Source organism: Homo sapiens, chromosome 6 (genome assembly GCF_000001405.40).
Source record: "Homo sapiens chromosome 6, GRCh38.p14 Primary Assembly".
Lineage (NCBI taxonomy): Eukaryota > Metazoa > Chordata > Mammalia > Primates > Hominidae > Homo > Homo sapiens.
This window is the reverse complement of record NC_000006.12, coordinates 15393304-15416287: the sequence shown is the minus strand read 5'-3', so window position 1 is coordinate 15416287 and position 22984 is coordinate 15393304. Positions and strand designations below refer to the sequence as shown.

The 22984-nt window shown below is 42.9% G+C and overlaps 1 protein-coding gene across 20 annotated transcripts in view, besides 4 other annotated features; it reads right to left on the bottom strand.

Annotated features, from left to right (window-relative positions):
• JARID2 (jumonji and AT-rich interaction domain containing 2) overlaps window positions 1-22984 on the bottom strand; it is a 275974-nt gene that overhangs the window by 105755 nt on the left and 147235 nt on the right. For 14 of the 20 annotated variants that reach the window (XM_011514579.4, XM_017010833.3, XM_047418735.1 and 11 more), the window contains one exon: window positions 5923-6064. The exons of 2 other annotated variants lie outside the window; for them this stretch is intronic. In XM_011514579.4, coding sequence (XP_011512881.1) covers window positions 5923-6064 — 142 coding nt within the window. Of the gene's footprint in view, window positions 1-5922; window positions 6065-15270; window positions 15376-22984 lie in introns of those variants that run through there. 4 more of the 20 variants (XM_024446424.2, XM_047418739.1, XM_047418740.1 and 1 more) reach the window with 1 other exon arrangement.
• Window positions 2679-2846: a silencer, noted in NCBI's record as "fragment chr6:15413673-15413840 (GRCh37/hg19 assembly coordinates)". NCBI's record gives its function as "represses an EF-1alpha promoter that drives an FKBP-Casp9 reporter gene in an ReSE screen in K562 erythroleukemia cells {active_cell/tissue: K562}" and the evidence as "EXISTENCE:reporter gene assay evidence [ECO:0000049][PMID:32094911]".
• Window positions 11236-11926: an enhancer, noted in NCBI's record as "NANOG-H3K27ac-H3K4me1 hESC enhancer chr6:15404593-15405283 (GRCh37/hg19 assembly coordinates)". NCBI's record gives its function as "activates a minimal SCP1, AML or CMV promoter by ChIP-STARR-seq in primed H9 embryonic stem cells {active_cell/tissue: H9 hESC(primed)}" and the evidence as "EXISTENCE:reporter gene assay evidence [ECO:0000049][PMID:30033119]".
• Window positions 11996-12290: an enhancer, noted in NCBI's record as "tiled region #1760; HepG2 Activating non-DNase unmatched - State 19:H4K20". NCBI's record gives its function as "activates a minimal TATA promoter and a strong SV40 promoter by Sharpr-MPRA in HepG2 cells {active_cell/tissue: HepG2}" and the evidence as "EXISTENCE:reporter gene assay evidence [ECO:0000049][PMID:27701403]".
• Window positions 13150-13650: an enhancer, noted in NCBI's record as "H3K4me1 hESC enhancer chr6:15402869-15403369 (GRCh37/hg19 assembly coordinates)". NCBI's record gives its function as "activates a minimal SCP1, AML or CMV promoter by ChIP-STARR-seq in primed H9 embryonic stem cells {active_cell/tissue: H9 hESC(primed)}" and the evidence as "EXISTENCE:reporter gene assay evidence [ECO:0000049][PMID:30033119]".

Below are 22984 nucleotides of genomic sequence, written 5' to 3'. Positions count from 1 at the left end.
CCACCCCGTCTGGGAAGTGAGAAGCGTCTCTGCCTGGCCGCCCATCGTCTGGGACATGAGGAGCCCCTCGGCCTGGCTACCCAGTCTGGAAAGTGAGGAGCGTCTCTGCCCGGCCGCCATCCCATCTAGGAAGTGAGGAGCGCCTCTTCCCGGCCGCCATCCCATCTAGGAAGTGAGGAGAGTCTCTGCCCAGCCGCCCATCGTCTGAGATGTGGGGAGCGCCTCTGCCCCGCCGCCCCGTCTGGGATGTGAGGAGCGCCTCTACCGGGCCATGACCCCGTCTGGGAGGTGAGGAGCGTCTCTGCCCAGCCGCCCTGTCTGAGAAGTGAGGAGACCCTCCGCCCGGCAGCCACCCCGTCTGGGAAGTGAGGAGCGTCTCTGCCTGGCACCACCCCATCCGGGAGGGAGGTGGGGGTCAGCCCCCGCCCAGCCAGCCGCCCCGTCCGGGAGGGAGGTGGGGGGGTCAGCCCCCCGCCCGGCCAGCCGCCCCGTCTGGGAGGTGAGGGGCGCCTCTGCCAGGCCGCCCCTACTGGGAAGCGAGGAGCCCCTCCGCCTGGCCAGCCGCCCCGTCCGGGAAGGAGGTGGGGGGGTCAGCCCCCCGCCCGGCCAGCCACCCCGTCCGGGAGGGAGGTGGGGGGGGTCAGCCCCCCGCCCGGCCAGCCGCCCCGACCGGGAGGGAGGTGGAGGGGTCAGCCCCCCGCCCGGCCAGCAGCCCCGTCCGGGAGGTGAGGGGCGCCTCTGCCCGGGAGGTGAGGGGCGCCTCTGCCCGGCAGCCCCTACTGGGAAGTGAGGAGCCCCTCTGCCCGGCCAGCCGCCCCGTGCGGGAGGGAGGTGGGGGTGTCAGCCCCCCGCCCGGCCAGCCGCCCCGTCTGGGAGGTGAGGGGCGCCTCTGCCCGGCCGCCCCTACAGGGAAGTGAGGAGCCCCTCTGCCCGGCCACCGCCCCGTCTGGGAGGTGTAGCCGGCAGCTCATTGGGAACGGGCCATGATGACAATGGCGGTTTTGTGGAATAGAAAGGGGGGAAAGGTGGGGAAGGGATTGAGAGATCGGATGGTTGCCATGTCTGTGTAGAGGGAGGTAGACACGGGAGACTTTTCATTTTGTTCCGTACTGGGAAAAATTCTTCTGCCTCGTGATCCTGTTGATCGGTGACCTTACCCCCAACCCTGTGCTCTCTGAAACATGTGCTGTGTCCACTCAGGGTTAAATGGATTAAGGGTGGTGCAAGATGTGCTTTGTTAAACAGATGCTTGAAGGCAGCATGCTCGTTAAGAGTCATCACCACTCCCTAATCTCAAGTACCCAGGGACACAAACACTGCGGAAAGCCGCAGGGTCCTCTGCATAGGAAAACCAGAGACCTTTGTTCACTTGTTTATCTGCTGACCCTCCCTCCACTATTGTCCTATGACCCTGCCAAATCCCCCTCTGTGAGAAACACCCAAGAATGATCAATAAAAATAAATAAAAACAAACAAAAAAATATATGTTATAAACTATGTAAATATATCATTTAAAAAAAAAACAATCTCACCCACCACAATGATCAAAAGAAAAAGAAAAACAACATCTAGAACTAAAAACAAGACTCAGCCTTCAGGGTCCCACCAGCACAGAATCTCCACTCATCTTTTCTTGGGCTGCCCTTTCCGTGAACACAGCAGACAGATTCTGAAGGGGGACTGGCTTTCCTTTTGTAAAGAGGCATCTCAGATGACCTTTCAATGGCTAGGTAAAAATATACCGGTTTTGAGTTTTGTTGTTGTTGTAGTTGCCTCCATAAAGAAAAACTCTGAGGAAGAGAATTAGAAATTTGAGGAAACTCCAAAACCCTCAAGAACTCTGGACTCCACTGGTTTCTATAGCTAAAAAGATCCCTAGTGTCAAGTAAAGGCACTGGCAGTAAATACACACAGCAAAATCTGACTCAGGGGGTTTTCTGCAGAAAAACAACACTTAAGTAAACACATGGATGTTTTAACTGAAGAATTAAAACATGTTATTAGCATCATCAGAAAAATGTAATTGCTTCAACGTGCAGGTTGGAAAAGCAGACTAGATAAAGTTGGAACTGAGGCTGGCATCAGTCTCCACCATAGATTTTTATTTTCCATAAGAAGGAAGTCAAGCACATACAATCCCTCTCAGTCTTCCCCTTTCCCCATCACCCTACTGTAGACAAAAGGCATATTTTTTTGCTGATGATTCTAAAATCATGCACATAAAAGGATGTGTAGAGTAGGAGTAATTAAATCTACAAGTATAGCTAACTAGCAATTCGTATCATTCTAAAAAATAAAGTGAAAATGCTCTTTCCAAAGCACATACATAAATTATGACCCTGCAGTATGATCTGAATGTGGCCCCCAAAGTTCATGTGTTGGAAACCTAATCCCTAATCCAACAGTGCTGAGAGGGTGAGATCTTAAGAAGTGATTACATCATGAGGGATCTGCCCTCGTGAACGGAATAATGTCACTATCTAGGGAGTGGGTTTGTTATAAATGCAAGCTTAGACAGGCGTGGAGGCATGTGACTGACTGTAGTCCCAGCTACTCAGGAGTCTGAGGCACAAGGATCCCTTTAGCCCAGGCTTTAGAGAACACAGTAAGTCATGATCACACCACTACATTCCAGCCTGGGTAACAAAGCCAGATCCCATCTCTTTAAAAACTAAACTTAAAAAAGAAAAACAAACAACAAAAACCGAGCTTAGCACTTTCTTGTGCTCTCTTGCCAAGTTATAATGCAGCAAGAAAGCTCTCGCCAGATGCAGTCCCTCAATCTTTGAATACCAAGCCTCCAGAAATGTAAGCCAATAAATTTCTGTATTTCTAAAGTTACCCCGTCTCAGCTATTCTGTTACAGCAACACGAAACAAACTACAACAATATGAATTTTTAGGAATCAGTATTTTCTCCTACAAAGTCTAAAGACCAAAAGAGAATGCAAATGGTCAGTCTTAAAAGCTCTTCCCTGCCGGGCACAGTGGCTCATACCTGTAATCCCAACACTTTGGGAGGCCGAGGTGGGCGGGTCACCTGAAGTAGGGAGACCAGCCTGACCAACATGGAGAAACCCTGTCTCCACTAAAACTACAAAATTAGCCGGGCATAGTGGCGCATGCCTGTAATCCCAGCTACTCGGAAGGCTGAGGCAGAAGAATCCCTTGAGCCCGGGAGGCAGAGGTTGCGGTGAGCCGAGATCGCACCATTGCACTGCAGCCTGGGCAACAAAGGCGAAACTCAGTCTCAAAAAAAAAAAAACAAAAAAAAAAAAAACAAAAACACAAGCTCTTCCCATGTATAATGTTTCAGAAATTTAAAACTCGCAAGTAAAAAAACCAGCATCTGTTTAACAATCCACTAAAGATATTTTAAAATTAACCATTATAGGTAGTTACTTTAGGCTCAACTTCTCATCTTCAGAGTCAGCACATTCCATTACCCTATTAGAAAAGGCATTCTGTATGTGCGTTGAAGACAGGTTACATATTACAGTTTCAACAGTATACTACCGAAGCTCTGGAAATTCAGGTCCCAAGTCATTTACTCTGCTTTTGAAGGCAGGGTTCATACCCAACCCACTAAATACTGACGAAGGATCAAAACAAAGGAGTTCTTAAGACTTTAAGTTATCATTTTATGCTTGCTACATACCCTGCAACACCCCAAGAAATGCATGCCCTGCTGGGTGTGGTGACTCACGCCTATAACCCCAGCACTTTCGGAGGTGGGTGGGTCACTTGAGGCTGGGAGTTCAAGGCCAGCTTGGCCAACATGGCAAAACCCCATCTCTACTAAAAATACAAGAATTAGCCAGGTATGGTGGTGTGTGCCTGTAATCCCAGCTACTCAGGAGGCTGAGGCATGAGAATCGCTTGAACCCAAGAGGCAAAGATTGCAGTGAGCTGAGATTGCACCACCACACTCCAGCCCGGGTGACAGAGCGAGACTCTTGTCTCCCTCAACCCCCCCAAAAAAAGAAATGCATACCCTAATGACACTACACATTTGAAGGCTACAAAATCTTCCTCCTATAATCAAGAGTGCCCCAGCCCATCCCCAAAATCTACCCAAGCCTATCAAACCTTAATCCACATAAAACCTTGATGAGACCAGAACCAAGTTAGTAGGCTGTAATGAATCCTTAATTCAGTAAGATACTTGACACATTAATAATTAAAAACGATTTGCCAAGGCTAAGTTTTCCTTCAGCTAACTCTGAAAAAGAGTTCCTCTTTTCTACTACCTTAAAGAATTCCAGTTAAATGACTGCTTTGCACTCAGGTGCCACATGACACTGTGGTCCCATACAAAGAGAAAGCTAGCAACACTATCTTCTGAGAGAATCACAGTGAGTTAGGGACAAAGAGTCCCTCCTCCTTAAGAATGAAGCCTACAACACACATCACTGCACCCGGATGCTGACCAGCTCTCAGCCAGAAGTGAGGGTGATGGCCAGCCACATAGCTAAAGGAGTGGGTGCCCAGACTCAGAGAATTCTGCTCCCCAAATGGAGATGAAAGTTGATGCCAGATGCATGCCAGATGCCCATGTTGGAGGCATGGATAATATTATCACACATTCCAATATATTTACTGACACAATTTTTTACACATCCTTAAAATCACTCTCTTGTGATAATTCATGCTTTAAACTGGAACAGGGGAATGTTTGTTATGGAATATCTGTAATATAACAGGTTCATCACTGAGACACTCTTTTTAAAGGAGTGACATACAAAGCTCAGTACACGGGAAGATCCTAACTATACTAATAACGAATCTTATGACATCTTCTAAGACAAAGTGCTGAGGATGAAGAGAAAATGAGAGAAGAATACAGATTCAATGTATTTAAAAGGCTATTTAAAAGACGACACCCTCATGATGGAGAAAATAAAGACTTTGAGCTATGCATCTCAACTTTCAGTCCTGAAAACAGGAATCTTAAATATCTACACATGGCTAATCTTGTCCTTTTCTCTTAATTTTTCACTCTATTCTGTTCTTCTTTAGATAGATACATGTAGATTGCTTCTAAAAAGTAAATTCTCCAGAATGAGTAAACAGAGATGAACTGACAAGGGGGATTTTTTTTTTCTTTTCCTTCAATCCCGGAAACGAACAAATTCTAAGAAAAAGTCAGGAAGCTGGTCCTCCAGGTAAACATAAAGAGAACAAAGGGAAATATAAATTCTAACAGGGAAAAAAAGGAAGTAACATATCAGGTATGAAGTAGGGTAGATACTAGGCAAAGGGTTTCAAAAACACCCAAGTAAAATCATTATTATAAAATGTCACTGCCACTGTTTGACCATGAAACCACAAACTGTTATCAAACTACTAAAGCCAACTTCCTTACCAAACTATCTGAAGCTTATTTAGGAAAGCCACATAAAAATAACTGCTGTTCTAAGTTTTAAGCACCAATTCCACAGCTACTAACTTGGAACTTGGTAAAACAGCAAGGGATTAAAAATACACAGTGTAATTTCAGCTTTCCTGACAAGGAAAAAACGTCTCAGAAACACCACATTTACTTCTTCAAATTTTTAGAAAGATCTCTTTTCAGAAATGGCAAAACATCACCTAATATATATATTCCTCAAGATGGCTGCTGCTGAGAATCAATTTAAATGAACAGTTAAGACAGGCATTACAAGCTGGCAACTCTTTGGCTAACTGTTCCAGCAGGAACATGTGCTGTCAGTCCAGAGCACTTTTTTTTCCCGTTTTTAATTATAATTATTAGACAATACTTAGAAAGCAGGGCATTTGATACGAAACCTCATGATTCTGGCTCCTCTATGAAAATCAAGAGATTGGGTGAATGGGCTCACGTTATCATGTGGTGAAAACTGGCACCTGAGTTTGCAGTCCCTGGTTGAAGGTACCAATATTTTCAGCCTTGGGTACTAACCTTTTCCTCGACGGCCCTTCTTCAAAATCTGAAGAACTAACATCGTTGCTAGTGGAGGACACTTGGGATGCATCGTCCTTTTCATTCTCTGACTGTTCTGATGCTGGTCCTAATCCCTTAGACTGGTCATTACCAAGGAGCCCTACAGGTGAGAAAAGGGGACAAACACTTAAATACATCACATCAGGAGGCAGCACTTTACCACAGTTAACCCTACACAACGCTGATGAAGACAGACAAGAATGTGGATAGAAGAGAATTTAAAAGCACACATCCCTTTTGAATGGGTGGAGAAAAGCAAAACCTCATTCTATGAGACCTTTAAAGAGAGTGAAATGCCTAAGAGGGAAACAATTTCAACAGTAAGAAATTTGAGCAGAAATTTGGAACTGTAACACTATACTTCAGGATTCGTTTTTAAAGAGTACATAAACATCTTTTGCAGCTAAAGGGTTGAAAGGAAGAAAGGAGTATCTGTTATCAAACTAGTCACTCTTGAAGAGGTAAATATTGACTCTACAGATACTGAAATCCTTTCTGGAATTGCCTGCAGGAACCAGTACCTGCCACACAAGAAAAGGCATCCTTATCTTTGCAGCTACATCTTAGATATTAACTAGAAATCCTACTCCACTTGTTTTTCTTCATAGCCATCTACAAGATTAGATTGTAACCGGATTTGCCTTTGATCATCTCAAAGGATAAGGATTCTCTATGATAGCAGATGATAAGCAGGGGAGTCTTGGTGCTCATGGATGTGCTTTTAGTAACCAAAATATGGAAAGAAGCTGCAGGCCCTTGGGGGCTCTAAAAAGCAGCTGTGTACTAACTGATATGGAAGTATTCTAACCAGCAGTAAGGTCACACTATAGGGAAACGGGTGAATAACAAAGCCTCAGAGTCCCTTACATCAATGTAGGTTCTGCCAACAAGAAGCTTCCACTGATAAGACATGTCCACAGCAACTAGACCCGCTGTCCACTATCTAGTCACAACCCTCGAAGGCAACCAGAACTGGGCAGGAGCAGCACTGCTAGCACAGCATCTGCAGTTTTACGGTGCTTGATCTTGAAGCCAAAAATACGGAGTGGCCCCTTGATTTTTGCTCTTCTAGTCCTTCCACCAATTTTATGCACACTTCATTTCTCTGTATTAAGTCTTTGTGACTGAAGTATCTCAGAAAGTGACTTCTGTTAGTTGTACTAAACACTATGTAGAACACAGTGTTCTATGTATTTGATTAAAAAATACATAAACATTCTGAATGAACATAGTACACATCAACAAAGCCCTGGGACCTGGCTTGTTTCTGCTTGCATTTCCCCAGTTACCTATTTTTACATCATTTCAGAGTATGAGTGATAACATGAGGTTGAAAATAAAACACACGGTTATTCACTTCGACTAATGAGGCTTTAAGAGTTGTGACTACAATACAGAAATAGAAACATACAAAAACCCCCAAAGAAAATGCTGGGAGTCTGCACTGTGAGGGCAAAAGAAGACAACTGTATGGAAATCTAAGAATCCAAGGATAAAAGCGTGGCCAGTGTTTCAGAGATTGAAGCCATGTTCTCCATTACAGTAGCCACTAGTCATGTGCAGCTACTGATCACCTGAAATATGCCCAGTGTGGATAAGAAAATAAATTTTAATTTTACTTAATTGTAATTTAATATCAGAATGTAACATGTCATTGACAATGTTGTATTAATTGTGGAAATGTTTTGGAGTAGATTAAATCAAATATATTAACATTGATTTCACCTACTTCTTTTGAGTGTGACTGCAGAAACTAAAATTACGTATGTAGTTTAAATAATATCTTTACTGATCAGCACTCAGATCACATTAGTAGTGTCACTATGCGAGTGGGGGATCCCTCTTCCCACCCAATTAGGATACAGACGACATTTAACTGAGATTAGAGTTGGCCAAGGAACATAATATTTATCTTATCTGTAAAAAGAGAAGATGGATAAATTACCATAGAGAAAACTGAAAATAAAAATGCTGGTTAAAGAACCAGATGTAAAACTGAAAAGGAAAAAAAGAGGATGCACATCGTAAATATGTATCGTCTTGGTGGAGTTCAAATTTTTCTTTTTGCTTTTGAGATAGGGTCTCGCTCTGTTGCCCAGGCTGGAGGGCAGTGGCGCAACCATAGCTTATTGCAGCCTTGACCTCCTGGGCTGGAGAAATCCTCCTGCCTCAGCTGAGACCGCAGACACATGCCACCATGCCCAGCTAATCCTTGTATTTTTTGTAGAGATGGGGTTTCGCCATGTTGCCCAGGCTGATCTCAAACTCCTGGGCTCAAGGGATCCAGTCACCTCAGCCTCCCAAAGTGCTGGGATTACAGGCATGAGTTACTGCACCTGACCTGAAGTTTCCTTTTTTCAATAGCACAAGGTGGGAATAACATAATGGAGAATAAAGCACAGAAGGCAAAAAAGGGATCAATTCTGAATTTATCCATTAATTTACTTAACAAATACTATATGCCAGGGCACTGGGGATACAGGTTAATCAAAATCTAAAATTAGGAGAGACAGACAAACACAGACATATGCATCACTCAGTAGTAAGTGAAGAAAAGAATGTGATGGAGAGGATAATGAGTGAGCCAATGGAGCCAGCCGGCAAGCTTGCAATACCAAAACAAGAACAAGAAAGTTGGGATTTGCAGTAAGCCTAAAAACACGAAGTGGTGATGGACGAAGAGGACAAGGAGGAAGAAGAGCTATATTGGTATAAAAAACGAACTAAATAAGGACTAGGAGCAGCTCAGGAAGACTGGGAAGGGTTCCTATACCCTTTGGTACATAACAGCAGCTGAAGTCTTAGCTGAATAAGAGGTGAATGCATGAAAGAATGAACAAATGATTTAGCAAGTAAGTAAGAAAGTTAAGCTTTTTGATGACAGCTTTGCTTCTGTCCTCCTGACAAAATGAATCTGGGTGACTGTAAAGAGAAGTGACTCTCAAACTTGAGCATGCATGCGAATCACCCCCCAAGTGTCCCCCGTTCTAACACATTCCCAGGTGACACTAATGCTGCTTTGGCTGCTCTGGGGACTTGTTTTTTGGGGGGTGGGGGTGCAGAGGGACAAGGTCTTGCTCTGTCACCCATGCTAGAGTGCGGTGACATGCTCACAACAGCCTCAGCCTCCTGGGCTCAAGCAGTCCTCCTAGGCTCAAGCCAGCCTCCCGAATGGCTGGGACTACAAGTGTGCACCACCATGCCCCACTAATTTTTTTCTTTTTTTTTTATACATGGGGTCTTGCTTTGTTGCCAAGCTGGTCTCAAACTCCTGGGTTCAAGTAATCCTCGCCCATTTCGACCTCCCAAAGCACTGGAATTACAGGCGTGAAAACCGCACATGGCCTCATGTACCTTTTATCAATAATTTTGCAGAAAAAAAAAGACACTTGCCTGCAAAATGTCACAAAGTTACAAGAATCAGCCAACGTGACAAATAGAGACAAAAAAGTTAACAGGTTGGAAAAAATGTGCATGTCTAAGAAGCATAAATGTAAAGAGATGTGTAATGTTCTCCCCAACCACCCTCTCACCCTGCAAATCAATTGCTTAAGTATAAATTAGGGGTAATTTTATGAAGAGATTTTACACATGAAAAATACCTAGGAATATTAAACGATTTTATGTAAGCAAAATGCAAAACAGATAAGGCTACTCTGATAAGGCATGACTGAGCAAAAAGAAATCAAAGTACTGACTCCATTGTTCCAGGCCCTTATCTAACTAAATCTTCCAAGAACTCCAAGTTTTCCACCATTCTGAGGATTGCAATGAGTACCTGAACTAGAAGAGAATCACATTCATGTTCCAGATTCATAAAATGGGGCCCATACATAAGGAACTGCCTTTATACAAATTAAAGGGCCATAGGCTCCCCTCTCCCCCGACCTTGAGACAGAGTCTCGCTCTGTCATGAGGCTGGAGCGCAGTGGCACAATCTTGGCTCACTGCAACCTCCGCCTCCCAGGTTCAAGCAGTGCTCCTGCCTCAGCCTCCTGAGTAGCTGGGACTATAGGCGTTCGCTACCACGCTCAGCTAATTTTTGTAATTTTAGTAGAGACGGGGTTTCACCATGTTGGCCAGTACGGTCTTGATCTCTTGACCTTGTGATACACCTGTCTCAGCCTCCCAAAGTGCTAGGATTACAGACGTGAGCCACCGCGCCTGGCCAGGACCATAGATTTTACTGGCCCTTACGAAGGCGCAAGACTGACTTTATTCTGCACGTGATCAACTTTTTCAATGTGAGTACTTCCATTCTGTATATATCAGCCCAGAAAACATTTACATTTATTAATAGTCAGACAGCCTACATGGTTAAATAAACCTGGGCTTTTTCTTTATCTAACCCCCCCGCTGGCGACCAATCTCCACTGTACTGGCTACCACATTTCATTTTGAATGTTTTAAGCCCAATCATACAGCCTGCCCAATCCAGGAGGGCCAGGTCAGCAAGATGGAATATGACGCCACAGGGCAACAGAGCCATTATTATAACATTAGCCAAGCTAATGTACTGCCTTTTCTCTCCCCTAACAAAGCCCTGCCACCAATTGTTAAAATTATTATTTTTAGTCAACGAGAAATAATGAAATGGCATCCCCTCCTTCACACACTCAAACCGTTTTTATTTTTCCAACCCCCTCCCCCACCCCGACCAACACAAACCTTTGTTGGGGAGAGGAGGTTAAACAGAGGAAATTGAATGAATGGCCCAAAGAGTCAGTCTATCCCATTAGCATTTGTTCTCCTCTATTAATATTCAGTAGGTTGAACTTAAATTAAACCATGTCTATTGTCTTTCACAAAAGCAATAAATATGAGCTGAAAATTGTAAATCATTGCAGTAAAGGCAGCTTGGTTACTGTGCCTGCAACCTCAGCTAGTCACCATCAGCTGACGGGAGAAGTGCGTCTGGGATCCAAGACCATTTAGCCACAAGGCAGTGTCCATTTGTGCAGCCGAGAACTCTAAAGAAATTGAACACAACAGAACCCTGCCATCAGCAGCTCTGCACATTCAGGAGCTTTTCACCGCATCTCCCAAATTAGCAAGAAATGAAAAGACCGCACAAAACAATACAACAAAACAGGCTTCTGAGTCTGGAACAGCAGCATCAAAATGGAATAGGAATTCCTGTTGTTCTTGGTAACTGGAGACACTAGTGTATGGCTATCTCCCTCTTGCCTTATATGATGGGCGTTGGGAAAATTGAAACACAAATTAGGCCAAAGATTCCTTTAGCTGAAGGAACTTCTAAAGCAACCAATGAGAACGACAGATTTCAGAACACAAATGTATGGACAGAAGACAACTCTTTTCTAATATCTGGAAAAAAAAAGGGACTAGAGCATGTAGTCTGTATCATTTTATGATGTTTTAGACACAAAGAAGTTTTACCAGTCCTCTCTCATTAGCTACACATACATGACAATAGAAAACTAAAGGAAAAGCCAATGGCTCTATTCCACAAAAGCAGTGCCCCAAAACAAGGGTTAAAAAGAAAGGAAAAACAAGGAGGGCTTTGAGGCTGTTCCAGGGCTTCTAAAACATCTGGAGCACACCAAAGTCATTAGCATATTAGGGTGACTCAATGTATTTAGCTTTGTTGTAGAAAAGATGCACAAAAGGTAATTCTGTATTATAGAGCCAATGCCGTCTGTCACCCTGTCACTGTGAGACAAGGTTATCACATTACATATCAAACAGTCAAGCATCCAAAGACAGCTTTCATTTTCAGCAGCAATTTCTGTGTGTGTGTGTGTGTGTGTGTGTGTGTGTGTGTGTGTGTGTGTGTGTGTGTGCACTTTAAGATGATAGAAAAATTATAAAAGCAGCCCCCATGGCTGAGGTAGGGCCCTCTCTGAGGTCATCAGAATGCATGGTTTGCTGCCATTGATAGTGAAAAATAAATGTTATGTTCACTCAAGTTTTGCAAAGAGAAAAAAAAATGAATTGCTTTTTAAGCAGGGTAGGCATTCCGATGCCAGGGCAGATTTGGCTTTGGGCCTGCTTGGCATGGTCAATATGAACATGGAGTTTGCCCATCACTGTACACATGCAGGTCAGCATGTGAAGCTTCCAATGGAGCACAGAGCTCCAGGGAGAGGGGCGAGCAGGGCACAGGGTCTGCAGAGCACAGCCCAGGCTTGTCCACTGACTTGCTCACCAGATCAACACACTGGTGTGACTGAGAACAAATGCCAAGTCATGAGGCAGGATGTCGGTGGCACACTTGTGGTCAACGAGGCACAAATGAAAGTGGTTTCATACCTCGGCTTATGGAAAATAATTATCCCTTTCCCTTATGAGACCAGCCCCTGAGCCGACTAGGGCTCCCCTTTGTCTACTGTCAAATCAGCTATGGAGATTTCCCATTCCGGTCAAGAAAAGACAATCCAAAAACACCCCCACCCATCACTACTTAAAACAGTCCCAAGATTTGGAGGCAGGAATGGGGAGGATGAATAGGTGGACGCGGGGGACATATTTTTGTTATATTTAACCCCTGCAAAAACAGATGTAAATACTGATTTGTAAATCAACAATCTCACAAGAGCTCTCTCACCACCACCAGAATCCGCCCCCACGACACACCTTCAACAATCTACACCTCTTTTGCATGCACAATTTTTTGAGAAAGCGTTAGATACTAAGACCTGACACAGTGTTCATTATTAACATGGAAAAGTTGGGTCACTGGGTAGATAAGGAAAATGTCTGACTCTATCCTTTTTTTCCTATTTCAGAAACAAGTAAATGACTCTTTGAGAAAGATAGGACCCTGGGCCCCAGAAGGCAATAAACGCCTTGAGCTACAAAGGAACAAACCCAGCAGATATCTCCTATTTCCTCAGAGGAAGAGGTAAGCAGAACACTGCTACTACTAGAATGGGCCCCATTCTGGCTCTCTAGACCCCAAATGAGTAAGAACCACCAAAAGACAAAAGATCTCCCCTTCGTACATCCTAACCAACAATCCCAGGGGGACAGAAAACACTGCTCACTGAAAGGCTCCAACAAAAATAAATAAAAATAGACAACAAGGCTGACAGTTTAACTTTATTCAACACAAAACCTCTCACAAAAACAAAGAGCCGTGATCTTCATGAAAGATTTCCCAAACAGACCAGAAGCTATTTAAACTCTGATGATCACCACTGTGAACATAAATGTACTGCTCATTTTGGCACAACTCCCTGTTACTTCTTTGGGGCAAGGGCTCATCCTCCCCACTCTCTTCCCCTCTTCACTCCTTCTTCATCCTTAATATGACCTTTATAACAATCAGAACAAGTACAGTACCTAGAATAATAATAATGACTGAATTATAAACACCCACGATGCTCTACAATCGGCAGTTCTAGTTTTGTGTCCAATCCCATGACTACTCTATCCCAGGCCGTAACTGCTCTGGGTCCACACTTCATTTCAACACCCTTTTAATTTTACACTGACAACCCAGTCAAACACACACCCACCAGACAACCCAGTTATAAATACGCACCAAAATATAAATCCCTGGAATCCCCTAGGATATGCAACTCGAGCTTCTATCAGCTCATGAAAAGAATTCCACACCACAGAGGGCCCAGAACTGACCACCTCCAAGGTCAAAAGCCGCCTACAGAAGAAAACTGACTCAAGGCGACAGTGGGCTTAGGCTGATGTGTAACCATGAGCGGCAGAACAATGGCATCACTGCAGAGCAAGGGAACTCAGTCACATGAAGGAGACGGAAACACAAGGGCATTTTTTTTTGAGATTTTTTCTAAGACAGATAAATGGGCCCAACATGTGGAAAGTCTTGTGTTCAGATAAACTAACAGGCCCAAATTTGATTTCTCATCTCACAGAATTTGCACTTCTCAAAGGGAGATGTCCATGAACACAGCATGTTCACAGATAGCTAATGATATTCTTCTACCTTCAAGTAATTACAAGTGTGTATGTACTTAGGTCTCTAAAGCTTCCTATCATCTTTACCCCACAAATGTAAGGTACCAAAAGAAACCAGGTATCCAATTTGAGCCAGGCTCTCCAAAGATAAGCAAAGCTGCTGCTTTAACTCGATCGACAAGTGCCATAAAGTTATCGGTTTGTGTACTAATCTGTAATGATAAATGGGCAAAGCTCCACAAACTTTGTGTCCTGACTGACACCATAATTTGTAGATAAATAAACAGCCACACCCTTTGCCCTGAAACCTCTCTGGGCTGCCTTCATTCCCTAGGATAAAAGGAATCTCTTGGAAGTTCTAAGTTCTGTTTTCTTTGTAGCATGACTAGGAGGGACAGTAGTTCCCCTGTTTCCTTATTACCTCACTCACATATCAAGAAATCAACTGCCCTCCTACTTTTCAAATGAATATATTCAGAGAGGATTAAGTAGTCCATTCAAAGTAAAAAAAAAAAAAAAAAAAAAACTGCTGACAACAAATAACTTCAGAAAGGCCTACTGCCTCCCAGAGCAGCATTCTTTCCACTACTGAAATATAATGAATGGAAGCAGTACAGAAAGCAGCACTATAGGAATGTGGCCATGGAATCTGCTAAGATTTGAGGCACCAAACATTGAAGGTTCCTGAAATTCATCTGTGTTTACAGACAGTAATACAGACATGAATTAATGCACGAAATTCGGGAGAAGAATCAAGAGCACTCGAAGTTTAAAGGTCTCAATCCAGAACCACTTCAGGTCTCAGGATCTATTTGCATGCCTCAGTTTCCTCCATCTTTCAAGGAAAGATGATGGAGGAAGAAAAAGAAAGGATTAATGGAAATGAAAGCAAACATGCTGTTTATGAAGGAAACCAGAGCTATGGTGAGGATGAACTAATTAACTTTAATCAAACATTTATTTTTAAATGCTGGGAAATGATCAGATAAATTGGTAATAAAATAAAAGGGACCAGCTATAGCTGGATGGCATTCAGTCTCCAGAGAAATGTCTAAAGTCATACAAGCCTGATTGAAACTGCAGCTTTGGCCAAAATGGTCAACAGAGCTTAATGCTTTAAGAGCGACATTAATTCTCTCTTGTAAATTTCCACAGTGCCTTTGCAGGAGCCACCATTGCCCCTAGGGAGGATATCAAAGCTAAAAGAATATTAATATTAAGCAAATTGCAACACTTTTTACATAGTCTCTCATATATATATATATATATAGCACCTTGCCATCCACAATGGATTTAATCAGGACCCCAGCAGGGAAACCCACAAAGGCCTATTTCTCCAACAAAAGCCATACCAGCCTGAAACAAATCTAGAGCTATTTGGTTTGTCTTTTATTTATAGGAACAGACCTTCTATCCCAGGTTCCTCAAGATAAGCCACCAAAAACTGCACCTGACAGACCCGTGGAGCAGCCATCCTCAGAGCCGGATCATTGCAGAGAGACAGAGAGGAAGAAGGACAGAGGGAGGGAGGGAGGAAGAGCGCAGTGAGGCAGGCTCCGGAGCACTTGTCAACAATCCTCCCCTGTACGTAATAAGCAAGCGGCAGTGCAGATTCCGCGCGGCAATAGGACGGCCAGAACAGCAATGGGGCCGAGGGGGAGGGGAGGCAGCCAGGAGAGAAGGTTATTTATGTGCAAGGGAGGGAATCGAACACCAAAGAGGAGGGGTCTCCGGCTGGCTCCCCCCACCCTGATAAATTAAAATGAGAAAAAGGAAAAGAGTCACTAGCTTTTCATCCTGCCATTTCCCCAACCTGCAATGCAGACAAATCCGAAGTATAGAATTTCTGACATATGGGGGGAGGGGGACATTCACAGTTTAATTGTGCACACTTTTGTGTCCCCAGCCGGTCAGATGCCCCCACCCCATTGCCAAGCACACCCCACCCCCACAGACAGCGGACTCCAGGGCGCAGTTTCAATGGCATCCCTTTTTAATATCATAATCTGTGTCATTCAGCACTTGCCTTTTATTTATTTTTATTTGTTTTTTTGGCTGGGAAACCTGGGCAGCTCTCCAGACAGACTGCAGAAATCTCTTTCCACATGCTCCTCCTCCAGCCCGCCCTCCCCCTTACTCTGATTCCAGCTTCCACGGAGCCTCATTACTTATGAAGTGACCGCATGGGCCACCGCTGCCCCCACCAACAACAGAGGGGCACCCCTCCCCCTGCCCTGCGCAGGCCCCTCCCCGAGGCACATAAATTGATCTAATCTAATCAAACAGAAGCTGTTTTCTCTCATTGTTTCTTGAGGATCTTTCACAGAACTGGCTCTGTGGTCTGGCAGCTGCTGGGAGGGGTGAAAAAGGCAGGAGTCCAACTGAGGGCTGGCCAGCTCCCTGGCCTCAGACAACTGGAGTACACATCTCCTTTCATATGTTATAGCTTTTTGATTTTTAAAGTCAATTTTCTTGAAGCCTTTCTTTGAACTTCAACCAGCAATGATAATGTCCAAAACACATGCTCTCAACACTACCACATGCTTCTCTTCATGCCCTTCCAATGGGAGGAAGATGGTGGCCAAGTCCACATGGCACTGGAAGTTTTCCTCAGATGCATCCAGAGGAAATGGAAACATGCCTTACTAATACTTTCAGTTTCTTCTTTCCTAGTTGTGGAACCATCTAACGAGGACCTTCTGGGTTCTAATACTTCACACACAGTAACTTATTTATACCTCACAAAAACCCTGAAGGTAGATGTCAACTTTGCTCAGGAGTGAAGTCACCCAGGCTAGCGGGTATTCTCTCCACAATGGCCAACTCTTGTTTCCTAAATAATTAAAGCTCATGAACATGCCACAACTTCTTACATCAAAAATATATAAACATAAATATATATATACATGTACATAAACACACACACACACACAGACATCACGAAGGTAGATGATGGTCCTCCTTAGTGTCTAGTTGATATCCACCACTTTAAAATCATAATTATACATAGGGCCTCAGAGATACTCTACTACAATTCCCCCACTTCATAGATGATGAAACTGTGGCTAAAAACAAGTTTGTCTCTTAGCAAAGGTCACAGAGGTAGCTCCTATGTCTCAACAGACAGGAGGCTATCCGAGAACCCAGTGGCACTGGGGAAGAAGGGGTGGGGTAACCTCAATATACAATTCCCTACAGAACATAGAAGGCTGGAGAAGAGGTGCTCTCCAATGGCTGCCAGGGTGAGCCCCCAGAGCAGACCCTTATTTAGTGCTCTACAGTGCAGCACGTTCCTGTTAACAGTGAACAAGTGTTTGGAATGCACCCCACTACAGCGTAAGTCATACAGAGTCAATTAAAGGACATTCGGGGGATGACTATTTGGCCTTTTTCCTCTTCCTTCTACTGGGACATGTCTTTTGGCTGCTTCAATGATCAACAGCACCCAAAGCAGAGAATTGGAAAGGAGACCTGAGGCAGATATTCTGATTATGCTAATTCTCAGCAAGGTTGGTAAGAAAAGTAGAAACGCCGAGACATAAACAGTTGGCCAGAAATGAAGTTTCAGAATCACGTATGATTAGTGGTTTTCCTGAACACCCCCAGTTCTGTCACTCAAACACTCAGAGTGCACACAGGCATCAGCACTAATAAAACACTATCTGCCCCTTTCCTATCTCCACTGCTTCCTCCTATTCTAGTCAATTAAAGAGAAACGGGTATTTAAATTTTAAGAAATAAGAAAAGCCTGACCATCGTCATTACTTCCTGATCATGCAGGCAATATTTCCTAAAACACAGTACATGCGAGTCAGTCCTGTGTCTGTCAGGCCAGGAAGGAGACTTAACAAAACTCTCCGTTGTAAATAGCCATAAGTTTTAGACTGTTTACATGAAATGTTGGTCCCCTACTAAAGAAGAAACATGCAAACTACCCTATTAGACTCACAGCATCCTCTGGAAGACCAAGAATAACACTAAGAAATGGATTCAATTTAGGAATAACAACACAACTTACAATATTTAAAGACAAGAAAGAGCAGAGGGCGGAAAGACTGGGGAAGAACTTTTCTTTGCTCCATCCATGTTCATTAATAGGCTGAAGGCACCACCATCTAAGTTTCAACAGTGAAATATCAGAGCAAGTCATAAATCTTAAACCAAAGTCCTCTGAATAATCAATCCACTTTAATTTTTAAGGATATAAAGAATATCTGTGAACCCGCTGCCAAACCAAACTACTCAAACATAACCTAAAGCCTTGCCTATGTGCTAACTTTTTAATATTATAACATAAACATATATAAATAGCATTTTGTTTCACTGCATTTGATTATAAACTTTACAAAACAGGTTCCAATGGGAATTGGGTTTTTTCCAACTCAACATCAAGTTACTAAGATCCATCCGTGGCCTTGCTTATTATATCGCTTGCCTATCCATTTTCATTATTACACAATGGAGTATTTATAATACTACACAACTGATGAATGGTAGGTATTCCACCATGATTCTCATGTCCAAGGGCATCTAAGGCGCTTCTAGTTTATTGCTATCATGAACCATGTTGCAATTCCTCTCTGCAAGTCTCCTGGAAATCATGCACTAGAGTTTCTCTTAGATAATATTTGGGACTGGAAGTGGTAGATATCCTTGGATATGCAAATGTTCAAATTTACAAGTTGAATGGCAAATCAGTTTCCAAAGCAGGTGTCAACTTTTGATTTTGCACCAGTAATGTTACCACTGGAATCTCAAAATGTTTAAAGACCTTCTATAACATGTCACAAGAGAGACCAAGGAACTCTACTAACTCTAATTCAGGAGAAGTCAGAATTTTCAGATGGGATCTCATATTCACAGTAATTCTATGCAGACACCCAGGTTCATGGCTGCCATCCACCTAATTATCACCTCAACCCCAAGACCAACCCCAGTTGGTGCCTTGGTATTTCAGTACCACGCTATTAATAATTTCCCCAAAACTACTAATCGCAAAGGAGGGGTAGGGTGGTGTGGATTGTCGTATGATAGAAGAGAGTACAAGGTTATGGTGCCAGAGAATTTCACATAATACAGAATTGTAATGATCATACAGCATCAGCCATGTATTTGTAATGATATTTCTGTGTTATATGGATGAAATTACGTAGTATTGACCATATCACATAGGGTGTGATAAAAATTAATGCAGAAAGGGGATCTACTGTGCTAATATTTGACTTTCAAAAACATCATTAAAGTGTGGGCACTCTGTGACAGCAGTATAGTAATAATAAATGTTACCTGTTGGAATTTTATTTAAATAAAAGTTAATACACTGGCACTATACCAACCAGAATTAGGTACACACACAGTCTGGCTTGAATGCTTTCCAAGAAGGCTTGGTAATTCCTGAAACACCAACAGTGCTGAACTTTGTAATGCATGTGGCTGGCCCGATAGCTAACATGTCAACAAGGCCACACTGTACAATTATAAAATAATACCAATAATTACAAGAACATAGTAGGGTGACCCGGACTGGGTGATGGTATGCAAACTCGTGAAACTAACTGGGTTGTTAAGGCTACAATTAAAGTAGTTGTTCCAATTCAGAAGCTATCAAAAAAGACAACACTGTAGCCCTCCTTATCCGGATTTTAGATTTCCAAGGTTTCAGTCAGCCATGGTCAACCAAGGTCTGAGAATATTAAATTTAAAAATCCCCAAAATAAACAATTCATAACTTTTAAATTGCACACCATTTTGTGTAGCATGCTGAAACCTTGAACTATCCTGCCCAGGACGTGAATGCTCTGCACTGTACAGTATTTATGTATAAGCAAAAAACACAGTATATACAGGGTTTGGTAATAGCGACAGTTTCAGGCATACACGGAGGGTATTGAAATGTATCACCCATGGATATGGGCGGACTACTGTATTCTACATGAATTTTTTAAATTAAAAAATACTGACTTATTTGATAAACACCTTGCACTAAAAACCTTAGTGGATCATAGTACACATAGCTATGATTAAGAATGATTAAGAAAAATCATAAGACTTCTGCCTCAGTTTCCTCACCTGTTAAACGGAAATAAGGACAACACTGGTGTTGGAGGCATTAATTACACAAGTAAAAGGGTTTGTGCTACACTGTAAACATACAGGGCTACCTACATGTATTCATGGTAATAAAACACTCAAATTTTGGTTCAATATATATTGTTGGCTTTTTGGCTGGAAAAAGAAACACATAATAAAATGTACTTAACATATTTGAAGGTGATCCGGTTAATGAATTTTAAAAGGTGAACACAGAAATAATGCCAAGTCAAACAACATGATCAACCTTTTTCAGAATATTTTGAAAACATTACTCAATAGTATAAAGTAAAATTGAACCAGAATCACAAAAAAGCTGTTTACCTACTTAGGAATAGTGAAGAAAGGAAAACTGTATATTAAAAGCACTGAGGCCACCTGCGGTGGCTCAAGCCTGTAATCCCAGCACTTAGGGAGGCCAAGGCGGGCAGGTCACAAGGTCAGGAGATTAAGACCATCCTGGCCAACATGATGAAACCCTGTCTCTACTAAAGTACAACAAATTAGCCAGGCATGGTGGTGCACACCTGTAGTCCCAGCTACTCGGGAGGCTGAGGCAGGGGAAGCACTTGCACCCAAGAGACAAACACTGCAGTGAGCTGAGATCTCGCCACTGCACTCCAGCCTGGTGACAGAGCTGGGAGCGGTGGCTCATGCCTGTAATCACAGCACTTTGGGAGGCCGATGTGGGCAGATTACCTGAGGTCAGGAGTTCGAGACCAGTCTGACCAACACGAAGAAATCCCATCTCTACTAAAAACACAAAATTAGGCCAAGCATGGTGGCTCACACCTGTAATCCCAGCACTTTGAGAGGCTGAGGCAGGTGGATCACAAGGTCAGGAGATCGAGACCATCCTGGCTAACACGATGAAATCCCATCTCTGCTAAAAATACAAAAACTTAGCCGGGCACAGTGGTGCACGCCTGTAGTCCCAACTACTCAGGACTCCCGGAGGTTGCGGTGAGCTGAGATCATACCACTGCACTCCAGCCTGGGCGACAAGAGCAAAAACTCCGTGCCCCCACCACCCCCCAAAAAAGCATTGAAACAAAGGGCTGATAGGTCAAAACTGAAGAGTGAGTAATCACCTTTTCGAATTTCTGACTCTGACAAAAGTAGTACTCTCATATGCTGCTAGTGTGATTAACTGATAAAATCTTTCAAAAGAGCAACCTGGAAATGGAGGTTAACAAATCTGTAATCCAGTAATTTCTAGAAATTAATACTAACAAACCAATAACAGAAGCAACGATTTGCTTCTAATAATTAGTTTGTTGGTTAATACAACAAATTAATGACAGAAGCAAAAATTTCTATGTAGCTTGTTTTAATTATTTTGTCGCTTCTTTGACTGGTTTAAATTCTATGTCCATTTCCAAAAAAAAAAAAAAAGGAATTATTCTACGTCGGTTTCCTGGGCCATGCAATAGACCGATTAGCAATGCTTTGGTTCTGAATTACTGCATGAAGCCGCTGGGGTAGCTGGGTTGAGTCCTGCATGTGTGGCAGCTGACACATTCTCTCCACTACTTGACCCTTGGAGCTTTGAGGCCTTTGCACATGCTGTTCCCTTTTCTGACTATTCTCTCCTCTGCCTAGAGAGCACCTGCTCCTCTTTCCATTTGACAGGTGTTATTCCAGTACAATTTCAAAACATACAAAGGTAACATTTACCAAACTGTCAGGTTTCTTCAAGAAGAAGATTTAGTCTTGTTCATCTTTTGTTTTGCTTTGAGACAGGGTCTTGCTCTGTGTCCCACGCTGCAGTCAAGTAGCGCAATCTAGGTTCACTACAGCGTCGACCTTCCGGGCTCAACCAATCCTCCCACCTCAACCTCCCAAGTAGCTGTACTACAGGTAGGCGCCACCACACCCAGCTAATTTTTTATATTTTTTGTGAAGATGGTGTTTCGCCAAGCTGCCCAGGCCTGAAGCGATCCTCCCGAGGCACCCCAGCCGCACAAAGTGCTGGGATTATGAGCATGAGCCACTGCATTCGCCTTGCTCATCTCAATAACCCTCCAATGCTGCATTGCATTTATGCTGTCAAAGAGTAAGCTGTGTCTCAAGGCCAATCCAGGGCTGCGTAAGCCTGAGGTGCTCTTATCTGGGAAGTCCCACCCTACATACAAAGCACCTAACATTCAACATTCTCTGGGAAAGGCAAATGTGTCAAAGAACTCTCTTTATGTTTGAAATTATTAGACTAGACATAGCTCATATACTTTACAATAAATTATGAGATCTCAGCACTCACTGATTAAAATGAGAAATTCCTCGGAAGTAGAAGACCTCATCTTCAGATTTTCAGATGAAATATAATTTCACGAGCACTGAATTTAACAAGCAGAAATCTAGACATACGATGTTTTCTAGATACTTGGGCCTTTATTAATTACAATTTTACAGTTTTTGTTTTTTTGTTTGGAGGCTGATTTTGTTTCTGTAACTAAAGCAGTTTTGCGTCTTTCTCAAAATATGTGCCTTTTATATCCTGCTAACGTAACCTCATTCTGTTACTAAACATTTAAATAAATGTCAAAACTACCTAGAATCCTCCTCCTCTTATTTACGCAGTGAAATCATCCAAGTCCCAATATACCAGTAATCACTGTTAACAATTTCGTGTATATTCTTCCTGGCATTTTCCTTAAAAGCTTCATACATCATGGAGAAGACCAGAAATAACCCAAGTGCTGCAACGATAAATATGGAACATCATTTATGGTATTCTCTCCAGTGGCAATCTTTTACAGTTTTCTGAAATCTTGAATTTTTCCACAATTCAGATGACTTTCTTTAGTAATATGGTGAAAGGCAATTTTAAAATTTACATGGTATCACAGGGAAACTGGCTGTGTCAACAGCACAGAAGTAGAGTCAATCACAAGAGAATTACTCAATGATGGAAATGAGATGGAGCTACCAACATTATTTACGTGGAGCTAAGGGAAAACCTACATAAGGTAAATGACAAAGGTAGACAAAGATAATTTTGAACTCAGCAATAAATTGCTAGGCTGTAGTT